General features: G+C 36.2%; 1 non-coding gene across 1 annotated transcript; it reads left to right on the plus strand.

The window, feature by feature from the left end:
• The first annotated feature begins 12468 nt into the window (after positions 1-12468).
• SNORD3G (small nucleolar RNA, C/D box 3G) lies at positions 12469-12682 on the plus strand. The gene has a single exon (NR_145742.1). It is a non-coding gene; the product is annotated as a small nucleolar RNA, C/D box 3G (small nucleolar RNA).
• The last annotated feature ends 578 nt before the right edge of the window (positions 12683-13260 follow it).

Here is a 13260-nt window from a genome sequence, read left to right on the forward strand (position 1 = left end):
ATATCAAAAGTTTTAAAAACACATAGGTCTTTTAATCAAGATATTATACCCTAGGAAATGGTTATAGGAAAATAATTAACAATGTGAAAAAAATTGACTATAAGATATTTATTACAACGCTGTTAGGAAAAAATTCACAATCTAAATGTGCACCAAAGATAAATTAGTGAAATAGATGATGATGCAAATGGATTACAATGCGGCTACTCACAATGACAGCACTGAAATGTATTAGTTCACATATAAACATATGTACTGGTAAAGAAAACAAAAAGATTATGTAAGAATTTATACTCTCATTCATCATTTATACCTGTTCTGTTCTCATGTGTATGCCAAATGTCTAGTACATAATAGCTCACAATAACTGTTAAGTATGCAAACTGTAAAAAATAATTGCATATATTATATACATAATCACACAGAAATAATTACAAATGTTAATTATATAATTAAAAACTTCACTATAAATTTTAATGTTATATGTAAGGATAAATTTTACTCATATAGGAAGATAAGTATGCTATTTTGTTAAATAAAAAGACAAAATACAAGTTATAAATGTGGTGAATATACCTAGAAAAGCAGATTGGAAGAAAAGTTTAATTTCTTTGGGTAATAGAATTATCATTGATTTTATTTTTCCTCTTTCTATCTTTTTGTATTTTCCAATGTTTTGGCAATGAACTATTTGTAATGGGAAAAAAATATTTTAAACAAGTTGTGTATTTTGGAATACTATGCATTTATTTTAAACTATATTTTAGAAGAATATCATTAATGTGAGAAAATGGCCACAGTACATTATTAAATAAAAAACAATCGTTTGGAATATTACATTCAATATGGTTCTGATTACATGTGGACATACATATACAAAGGCAAGAAAACTACAAGGTTATATTAAAACCTTTAAATTTTTTTTCTGGATATTAACATCGTTTTCATTTCCTTCTTAGCAATTTTCTGTATTTTCCAAATTTTCTACCAAAAAAAAATCTCTCTTTTGCAATCAAAAGAAAGGGCCACAGGAAGGAGGAGGAAGAGATATTTTTATTTTTAAAGAAATGGAAAATATATCAATGGGTTGAAGGTCAAGCCATCAATCCTTAACAGATTTTTCTCAGCTTTGTGGGAATTCATTCTCAATGATAAACTTATTTTTCCCTCAAGTACATATTTTCTACAATTGTTCATGCTTATGCCTCTGAACACTATTAAAATATTAATGTATTCTTCTCATGTTGTTCTCTCATGTTGCCCACTCTCTATCTGAGCAATAAATCTATACTTTTCCAACCTCTAAAAGAGCAGGGAAACTTGCCCAAGGTGACACACTGCTTGTTGGTGGAGTCAGGACTGCAACACAATAGTCCTTACTCCCAGGCCAGGATTATCCTCTTCGGAAACAAGTTTCCAAAATCTATTAAGCAATTTTTAAATGTTTGTTCTTTACATCCTTCAAGTCAGCAACGAGGCAAGTTTTGACCACTTCTGTTATGGGCCCAATTCCAAACAGCCTCCAAGGGCTCCTGCCCTATGAAGAGAGGAATATGATCATAAAGTAAACATGAGTGTGGCCCACAATAGTGAGTACCTAAGGAATGTTTAATAACTACTTTTTACTAAATTGTTATCCTGCTTCATTGATGGAGGAAAAGCCTGCAGATGAATTCAAAACCAGGAAAATCTAGCTTTGGCTGTCATTCACAGTGTCCCTCCCTATCCATATTTGACATCCCCTAGAATCCTGGAAAGCTTCCTAGCACCATGAGGCTGATACACTTAGGCAGAAACACCAACCGTTCACACTTACACAAGATATATATACACTTCACACACATAGCATTCTGCCAAGGTCCCTCCTCACAAAAACAAAAACAAAAACAAAACAAAACAGATTGTAACAATCTGTCAGATCCATAAATGGTATGTCATCTAATAACCCGCAATAAGTTCTAAAGCACATCAGATCAGCCTTTCAAATGGTAAATTTCCATGAACTATTAATGAAACAGCATCTCTCTCTTTTCAAAATTTTCTTAACTCTTGCATTTGAAATCCAATCCAACTTAGAACTCTTTAAACATCAAACCCAACTTCTCATGCACAGTAAACACAACGTCCAGAAAGCATCATTAGCCCAAGTTAGTAAAGAAATGTTTGCTGCTGTTTCTTCCCGTCATAATAAGAAATGCTGCTCAATAAGGGATGATTAAAAAGTCCATATGCCACATGAATCTCATGAATATACCTTTTCCATTGCTTTAAGTATCAATCCTATAAAGAAAACTAATACTGTGACTTAATATTCTTTTCACTTTGCCAAAAACTTCTCCTAACCACCACGCACATTTTAAAAGGCGGTAAAATCTAATTAACTTCTTTGCAAATCAGTGTAGTGTTTACATCTCAGTGTGTGTATACAGGCCATGTTAATCTCCATCCAAGAGAAGGAAGAACACAAGGCCTAGGGGTCTCTCTTGCTGTGACTTCTACTACCATATTCACAATCATGTTACAAAAAGAAAATTAACAATACCCTAAAATAAAGAATTCCACTGCAAGCTTTATAATCCATCATTAATTTCCTCTTTACTCATAAAACAGAATTTCACATTTTGGAGTTTAAGAGTGCTGAGCTAAATATCCTTTTATGTTTAAGAAAGCAGATTAACTTTTGAGGAAATCATCATTTCTTGTTATAGAGACAAAATAGTACATCAAGGAAAAAATATACTAATTGATGGCTTTCTAAATAAAGCATGATCATTGAGTAATACTAAATTGGTTGTCTTGTGTGTCAAATTAATCTCTTCATTACGGGGAACCAGGCTGGCTATTTTGTGCTTCAATCCATCTTTAATAGCAGCATTTTTATTAATCAAGTTAATGATGACAGTTTTTAGCTAGTAACAAATGATACATTTATTCAGGCCCTTTTTCAGATGATCCAAGCTATTGTGAGCAAAAGAAAAAGAAACAGCAATTTGGAAGATTAGATTAGTATGCCTAGTTTAAACTCTACACTTACTCTAGCAAATGAGATCAGAAGCAAGCATTAATTAATGAGTAAATCTCCCAAGGAATCTCCACCATAAAAAAAAAGTCATTATCAAACAGAGCATGCAAACTCTTACAGATATTTTATGTTAAAGAACATATAAAAAGCTACAGATTTGGGCTAACTTAAAGTTTATAGTTTTCAAAACCAAAATGACCAAATACTTAATTTCAACTCAGCCACCCATAAAGTGACATTACTAAAATCAGAACTGTTTTTAGAACACTCCTCTTGAAAATAACTGTTAATATAGAATGAAAAGGTAGCTCATTTTCCCCCCTTCATTTAAGGTAAGTAGGTAACAAATCTGGATAGCCCAATCTATCAATTTATAGCAAATGCTCTAAATACAGAGGTTGGCAAACAACAGCCCAGCCCATAGGCCAAATCTAGTCTGCCAAGTATCTTTATAAATAAAGTTTTATTGGAAGTAGTCACAATAGTTCCTTTATGTATTGTTGATAGCTGTTTGCACACTACAATGGCAGTCGAGTTGAATTCTTGCAACAGAAACTACATGGCCCACAAAACCTGAAATATTTACTATCTGGCTCTTTTCAGAAACTCTGCTAGCCCCTGCTCTAATATATTGTTTTTCAAATTTTTCACAGTAGAAGTCTTTCAAACAAAATCCTACAAGAAAGCCTAGCAAATAAGGCATTTGAAAGCAATATTTTATTAGTATACATTACTTTTATAAAGTAAATTATGTAACAATTACCTAATATGAAGTCAATCAGTTTTGTTGAACATAGAAACAGGAGGTTGCAGTCATAACAGTAACTTTGTTTTCTATTCGAGGTTATTTTGTTTTTGTTTTCTGGATTTTTTTTTTTTTTTTTTTTGTATTTTGTTTTGGTTGCAGAGAATTGATTCACACAGGTAAGTGGCTGCAAATAGTAACAGTTTTTTAAAGCTCCCTTGCAAACTCAGGATACTCTACAATTAAAAGATAATAGAAGTTTTATTCCAAGAAACTGCACAACTTAACCCGGCAGCCCAAGTTAACACATTGCTAATCTCCAAGGTTTTAAAATTCAGTACCTAGCACTTTTGTTATTTGTGCTTCGTAGTACCATTTTAAAAACAGATTTTTTAAGTTTAAAAGAATTTTAGCTTGCTGTGAGTGTTACATATAAAGTACATAAAACTGTTTGCCAAGTTTTCTCTTCCCACTTATAGAAAAATCTTTCCCCAAATTTCAAACATGTGATTTCAGTAAAGCTTTCATATTTCCTGATGATACCAACTTCCCAGCCGCAAAAATTGACTCAAGCCAATATAACCGTAGCCCCATCTCAGGATTCTTTTCCTAGGCATCAGAAAGAAGACATTTCACTTCCTCTTTGAAGCTGAAATAGAGACATGTGAGGCCTGAAGTTTGCCAGGGGTGGTACTTTTCATTCTTGCAAAAGAAACACATATAAGAGAAATACACTGATAGACAAAGAAAACAGAGGTAGATGGGAAGACAGTCTTAGTGGCACTGAAATCAATGCTTCCAGTTGTCCTTGAGACCTAGCTGCATCACACCCTCTCTGTGTTTTAATTACAGAAGCCAAGAAATTCCCACATTTCTTGTCTGTGGTAGTTTGAATAAGGTTTGGATTGAGTATCCTGATAAACACACACAAGCATAAATATTTTAATTGCAAATGCATGAGTCAAAGTCTGGAGGAATATATATGATAGTGGATACTTGTTATTATTTCTGGCTACTCACTATATGAACCTCTTTCCTAAATCTGGACAATCTTCCTCCCCCTTATAAGTCTCAGTGGGAAGTAGAATCAAATTGCACTATATAAGCTGAAAGAATAATAATAGCTAACCTTTTATATATGCATCAGGAAGCATTCTAAGCAATTTACCTAGATTAACCTATTCAATTTTCCCTCCAACCCCATGAAGTAATTGCAACTATATTTCTATTTTACAAATGAGGAAACTGAGACACAGAGGGGTCAAGCAACCTGCACAGAGTTACAACCAGTAAATAGAAAAACAAAGCTGTATGTAGCCCAAAAAATTTGGTTCCAGAGGCCCTACTCTAAAACTCCTCGTTATTTTGTCTCTGAAAATCCCAGATCATTCTTTCCAAGTCCTTGCTGCAACCAGGCTACACCAATCCAAGTACCCATCCCAGAGTTGCAGGGACCAGGAAGATCTGTATATTTGACAGTGGTGGCAGCTGCAGAAGGATCACGCTCCTGGGAAGCAATGATTGCAGTGCCAGGTCAACGTCCAATTTCTACAGCTCAGCAGTATCAGTGAAGCAAGCCTCAGCACTTATCACGCAGTGCCTGTGACAGTCATATCCTCAGCAGTATGCTGGGTATTGCCTCTCAGTTGCCTCCTGGCTGCACAGTCCTCAACTTGCTTTTGAAAGCTATCAAATATCTTCTTAATATATTCTTTTCCTGTTTAAATCAGCCAGTATTTTCTATTAGTTGTAATTAGGAACCTTGACTTATAAATGTCTTGCTAACAGTGATTACCCCAGAGAAGTGGATTTGGGGAATGGTAAAATTTTTTGTTACTTTTGACATTCCTATATAGAATGACAATATCTGGACAGAGATGGGTTCTAGAGCAGTATGGAGAGTGACTTTGAAGAGGGCAAGACTACATACAAGAGGACCTGTGAAAAGTCAGTTGCAATAGGTCGCAACTGAGGTTCACTTTCTAGGCTTTAAATAGGGTTGTGGTAAGATAAATGGAAAGAAAGGAACAGATTTGAGAGCATTTTGAGAGAGCATTTGGCAGAACTTCGTGCCTAAATCGACATGGGAGAGGATGTAAAGAAAGCTGTCAAGGGTGAATTCCAAGTTTCTTATTTTGGTGGCTGAACAATGGTGGTGCCACCATCTAAAGTAGAATAAAGAAGTGGGAGAAAGCTTATAAAAGAAGATAATGAATTCCAGTTGGTCTTGTTGAGTTCTGAGAACCTATGAGATACCCAAATAGAGATAGCCAACAAGCAGTTGACATGCATGGATTCCAGAGGGTCTATAGACCTAGAAATATAGACTATGTCTCATCTTTATAGATATAGCATATCAGCATTAGGTGATCATAACTGAAATCATGAAAATGAAGATCATCTAGGAAGTATGAAGTGTGAGAAGAGCAGAGATAAGGAAATAAATGGATTTCAGGGAAATACGTTAAGGATAGGCAAAGAAACATTTAAAAGGTCTCATATAAGAAACAAAGAAACAGCAGTCAGAGACACTGACGGAGATCAATTAATGTGGACTATTCAGAATCCAAAGGTGTACAGGACCTCAAAAAAAAGAAACTAATCGACTATATCAAATTCAACAGAAAGATCTCATAAGAAAAGGACTGAGAAATGTCTGTGGATTTTGTAATTAGAATGTACCCACAAAGTTCATAATGAAGGCATTTCTAGGAGTGCTGGTCTGGAAAGTGTCTCATTTACAAAACATATTTAAGGACCTAGAACTTAAATGTAAGTAGCAATATAATGGCATCGAGAAAAAAGTCAATACAATAGAAGGTCTGTTCTGATTGTCCACATTTCAGTAATTAGGTTCTGATTCTGGATGAGGAAGGCAATTCTTTACATCCTTTCTGTAGGCTCAGAACCCATGGAACGTGTTTCCTCACACAGCTGAAGGAATTATAAATAACCTACTCTTGAATATACACACACACACTCTCCTGTTTTTATTACATTTTAAATAAGACTTTAAAATGCTAACTTATCAGAAATACACTAGAGGAAAAAGAAACAGCATGGATGTAACCCTCTACTAATGAGGCACTAATGCATAATTATTATAATACACGTACTTCTCTCCATAGACGAATATTTATAAACACTGAAATCGTCTAGTTTGCAGTGAAGTCTTATGTACAGATTATTTTTCTCTTGTGGTTTGTCCTTTTTTCTTATTGTGGTAATGTTTAATGAATTTCACAGGCTCTGCTCATTCTCTGAAAACACTGAACGAACTTGTATACATAATAGGTGCTGCCTTCAATGAGTATGTAGAGATGAGATATTAAACACACCATCATCAGTACCAGTAGTCAGTTACCTTCACTGTAAATACTCGGAGTTCAGCTAAAACACAATATGTTAAAACAAAGCTGTTTGAATTAAGTAATTTCAACAGATGGTACCTAGGGAGGGGATCAAGGGAAGCATATATTAAAATAATTCAGATTAAAGACTGATAAGGTTTTAGGGAATCCATTAAATAGCACCCTTTTCTCAGCCTGAGCTCTGAGCCAACTGAGAACTAAACAAGAGATGGAGATCAACATATCAGCAATGTTACCAACAAAGGCCACTCTAGGTTGAAGGACATGGTTTAAGTATGCACCAACAATGACTGGAAGTAAGCCCATTCACTCAGCCCCATCAACTGCTGAAATGCAGTCCTTTCTGGTCATCAAGGTGATCAAGCTTTGGAGAAAAATATTCTCCAAAGACCACATTTCACATCGTGTAAATGCTACCATTTGTTCATTTAATTTCTTTTTTTTTTTGAGACGGAGTCTCTCTCTATCACCCAGGCTGGAGGGCAGTGGTGCCATCTCAGCTTACTGCAACCTCCACCTCCTGAGTTCAAGTGATTCTCCGCCTCAGTCTCCCAGATAGCTGGGATTACAGGTGCCCACCACCATGCCCAGCTAATTTTTGTATCTTTTTTTTTAGTAGAGATGAGGTTTCACCATGTTGGCCATGCTGGTCTCAAACTCCTCACCTCAAGTGATTCATCCTCCTCGACCTCCCAAAGTGGTGGGATTACAGGTATGAGTGACCATGCCTGGCCTAGTTCATTTAATTTCTACTAATAGAAAACATACATGGGAAAGCAGATTAGAATGTGTGCTTCCTGTAAGTAGTTGAACACATACACACACACAGTGGGAGAAAGTGGCTAGGCTTTTCATGCCCAATTCCTCTTCCAAACGCACTAGTGAGATAATTAACTGTACCTCTGTGGGTTGGAGAAATGGGTGGAGCAAGAGAAAAATTCCCTCCATGAAAACTAGGGGATTGAGCAGGAAATGACTCCCATTTCCCATTCCCCTAATAAATACACATGATTATTAATTGATTACAGTAAACTTTACTTTTTATCAACTGCAGGGTGGGTATAAACATGTTGCTATATACTTCATTTCTCTTTGGTCCTTTCTGCCAACATTATGATTATGTCTAAAGATATGCATTGAAGACATATATACAGACTATTGGTAGGAACAGGGCTTTAGCCTGGAATCATAATTTCCTAAATCAAGATCTAGCTTCTGACTATGGAAGGTTAACACTGAGAAAAAGCATTACCCAAATTATATTCTGCTTTGTGTAAACACCAGTATCCATTCATTCAACAAGCCTTTATTGAGAGTCTGCAATATTCCAAATGGTAGGTTAAGCAATGCAGATATAAAGATGAACAATTTAAATAAAATTCCTGACTTCTAAGAAAGAATTCCTCCTAAAAAAATTCACTTCATCAAATAATGCTACCAAAATATTAAAAGCTCAGGATCCAAATACATAAGAGAATGTAGCATATGACAACAGTAACTTCTCAAACCCAAGAGGGGTAAGTTGGACCACAAAATAAGGGGTGTTGAGGTATCTGGACATCCCTCTCGAAAAAAGCAAACATTTAATCACACCATACACTTTCAGTCAGATTAAATTCCAAATGGATCAAAGGTTGGAAAATATACAAAAGTAAAACCCCACAATTTCTAGAAGAAAACAGGGGAAATATTTTAGACTGTTAAAATGAGGAAAGTCTTTTTACTTATGACTCAAAATGTAAAAGCAATGTTCTCACCTGGAGATTTGACTAGGGAAGGATCCGCTTCCAAATTCCCTTCTGTGGCTGGCAGAATTCCTGGCAGCTCGCCTCTTCAACACCAGCAACCGAGAGAACAAGCCTCTGCTACTTCCAGTCTCTGACCTCTAGACTCTCTTTCATAGAGCCCACCGGGTTAGGTCAGACCCACCCAGGATAATTTCCCTTTTGATTAACTTTAAGTCAGCTGGTTAGGAACTTTTATTACAACTACAAAAATCCCCTCAGCTCTGCCATATTCTCCTAATTAGAAGTCACAGATTCTTCCCTCATTGGAGGAGAGGGGTTTACACTAGAGCATTACTCAATGGGGATCAGGGTGTGTCTGCCATATCTCCCTAATATATAGAGATTTCCACTGAACACTAATCATTAGATAAATGCAAATCAAAACCACAATAAGATACCATCTCACACCAGTCCGAATGGCTACTATTAAAAAGTCAAAAAATAACATATGCTGGTGAGGTTACAGAGACAAGGGGATGCTTATACACTGCTAGTGGGAATGTGAATTAGTTCAGCCATTGTGGAAAGCAGCGTGGTGATTCCTCAAAGAGCTTAAAAACAGAATTACCATTTAATCCAGCAATCCCATTATTGGGTATAAACCCAAAGAAGTATAAATCATTCTACCATAAAGACACATGCATGTATATGTTTCTTGGGGCACTATTCACAATAGCAGAGACATGGAATCAAGCTAAATGCCCATTAATGGTAGACTGGATAAAGAAAATATGCTACATGTACACCATGGAATACTACACAGCCATAAAAAAGAATGAAATCATGTCTTTTGCACCAACATGGATGGAGCTGGAGGTCATCATCCTAAGCAAACTAATGTAGGAACAGAAACTCAAATCCCACATTTCTCACTTGTAAGTGGGAACTAAACAACAACAACACATGGACACAAAGAACGGAACAACAGACACTGGGGCCTACTGGAAGGTGGAGGGTGGGGAAAGGGAGGGAATCAAAAAGCTACCTACTGGGTATTATGCTTATTACCTGGCGATTAAATAATATATACACTGAACCTCCATGACATGCCGTTTACTTATATAACAAACCTGCACATGTACTCTTGAACCTAAAATTAAACTTTTTTTAAAAAAAGAGAAATTACAAATGTAATTTTTAAAAACATTTAATTTTATTATTTATTTATTTTTTATTATACTTTAAGTTTTAGGGTACATGTGCACAACGTGCAGGTTAGATTTTTTTAAGTTCCAAGAAATCTATTAAAAGAAAATCCAGTGGAAAAACTGGAAAAAAAAAAAAAGAATAGTCAATTCCAGAAAAATATACGAGTAGCTCTTAAATATATGACAAGATGTTCTATCTCATTTTTTTTTGTTGTTTGTTTTTTTGTTTGTTTTTTTTTGAGACGGAGTCTCTCTCTGACACCCAGGCTGGAGTGCAGTGGCGCGATCTCGGCTCACTGCAAGCTCCGCCTCCCGGGTTCACGCCATTCTCCTGCCTCAGCCTCTCCGAGTAGCTGGGACTACAGGCGCCCGCCACCAAGCCCGGCTAATTTTTTGTATTTTCAGTAGAGACGGGGTTTCACCGTGGTCTCGATCTCCTGACCTCGTGATCCGCCCGCCTTGGCCTCCCAAAGTGCTGGGATTACAAACGTGAGCCACCACGCCCGGCCTCTATCTCATTTATGCAAAGAAAAAAATGCCTTTTTAAATAATACCTATCATATTGGCAAAAATCTAGAACTGTTCATGTATTCTCTGTGGGGTAACAGGTACTCTCAAACATTGCAGGCAGAGGTGTAAATCTGTCTAGCCCTTATAAAGAACAATTTGTAATTGGCAATATCTATAAACACATATCCCCCGACCTTGAAATTCCAAACCAGAATATCTACCCTAAAGATCTATCAGCATGTATGTGAAATTATATTGATTTCAGCAATATTTCTAAGAGCAAAATATTGGAGACTATGCAGACATAGCTATCCAACAAAAGGTGAGTTAAGTTAACTAAGGTCCATTTATATAGTGGAATACTGTATAATTTTAAAAAAATGAGGAAACATTCCAAATACTGCTATGGAAAAATTAATGTAGAACAGTGTATATAATAGCTATGTTTTTTGTTAACAAAAAAAAAGGAGAAAAATAAGAATATAATTTGTATTTGCTTGCAAGTGCATAAATAAATTTTAGAATATATGGATCTACATCTGGAGGTGATATGTATGCATATACATATATGTGAATAATAGAAGATCAGTAGGTAGGTAGGTAGGTATGTAGATAAAGGATTGATAGATATAGACTATTTTACAGCTCATATCTTATGGTTGTTTCTCTGCTACCATCTAGTCATGGCCAAACTTCTAGTTCCAAATTCAGTCAGAACTAGAGTTGTGTTATTCCAACATTTATCGTGAAGAAATTCCTATAGATCTGCAACAGTAAACTGGCTATGACTGAATCCACAATTACCCAAATTCACCATATTAATACTTTGCATGCATTTTCACCCCTTTCCTATTCTTCAAGGTTTTGTAGTAACCCAACTATTCACCGGATGAATATAAGTTATATGCCTGATACAAGAATGGAAAGGGACTTTTCACCATTACCTCCTAGTTTGCTCAACAAATAATCTCTTAATGAATACTTCCATAGAATTTTACAGTCATAAAAAATGCTTTTGGGATGCCTGCAATTATCTAAAATAAGAAAATATGGCAACTTGAACTCATGTATTTATCTGTTTCCTCTTTTACTCTACTAAAATAACAAAAGAGGAATCAGAAACTATGAACCCACAAGGAAAAGAGAACAGGAAACGACAAAAACAGGAGAGGGATATCCTTCTATCTCACTTTAATATGAACAAGTTATAACTCATTTCACAAAACAGAAAATCCTACGGCCTGAGACTGCAGCGGGAAAAATCAAGGAAATGTCACTTTATTCATGTCCCCAGAACCCTAGGAAAGCATCAGCATTCAAGGAAAGTTGGATTGATAGTTCAGCTAAAACTTTGTTAGCCAAGCCTGTGGGCCAGCAGCATAGGCACTCTTAAAAGTGTGTTAGAAATGCAGAATTTCAGGTCCCATCCAGACCTACCGAATCAGGCCTACACTTTAACTCCCAAGTGCTCTGTAAACCCCTTAAAATTTGAAAAGCAGTGATATAAAGAGCAGTTCAAATCCCAGAATTTCTCCCATATTCCACGGAGCCATGCAACTGCTCCCTCAACCCTAGATAAGAAGTTTTCTCCTGGATGATGTTGAACCGAAGAGGTCCCAGATTCAGGCACGCTGGCATCGCTGAAGACAGGAGTGAAGCAACAAAGTACAGGTATTCTGCTCGTCTACATAATGAAGAACAAGGCCCACTGTGCCCTTATCCTGTTCAGCAATCCAAAGTCTAGCAGCAGCCTCCCATTCCCAGGTAGAACATTAGAAATTTTTCTATGGGGGAAACCTACTAGCCCAAAAGAGAAGACCTACACATACTTGTACACATGCAGAAGACTGACATGGGGAGAATCCAGATTAAGAGTCACCTCGTCAAGACTATATTTTCAGGGATCATTTCTACAGTGCACTACTAGAGAAGTTTCTGTGAACTTGTAGAGCACCGGAAACCATGAGCAGGAAGTGCAGCGTTCTCTCCTGAGCATGAAGCCGGCTCTTGGTGTGGCTTCGCTGCAACTGCCATTGGCCATTGATGATCGTTCTTCTCTTCTCTGGGAGAGTAAGAGAGAGAGGACACAGTCTGAGTGGTTCCCATCTGAAAAAAAAAAAAAAAGAGAGAGAGTCGCCTCATCACCTTAGCGTCCCTATAGTAAATAGAGAGTAAGGCACACAAGTCTGATTCCAATCAGAGTGAGGGGTAGTTTTTCGGTTTTTTTAATACAATGTGCATTCTCTCAGATTAGTTTCTAGCTCAGCACCAATAATAAAAAAGAGAAATACTCCAACCCAAGCTACATGTGCAAAGATGTTCACTGAAGCATTGTTTATCATAAAAACTATATTTTTAAAAAAAACCATCCGTTAAAAAAAATCTGGTTTAAGAAAACTAGGTCTCTGTGAAATGGAATACTATAAAACCATTAAAAAGAATGAAGTAGATCTATATGTGTTCATATGGCATAATCTCCAGGGTATGCTGAAAAGTGAAAAAAATAAGGTACAGAAGGATAAATATGATAGACTAACATTTCTATTTAAAATATGTATGTATGTAACACATTTCCACCTACATATGTACACAAATATATATGCTTGTACTTGGAAAGAAAATGTCAAGTACATTTCTGAAAGCTGTTAACAATACCTAAATCTGGAGAAAGGAATTG

This window comes from Homo sapiens, chromosome 1, assembly GCF_000001405.40.
Source record: "Homo sapiens chromosome 1, GRCh38.p14 Primary Assembly".
Classification (NCBI taxonomy): Eukaryota; Metazoa; Chordata; class Mammalia; order Primates; family Hominidae; genus Homo; species Homo sapiens.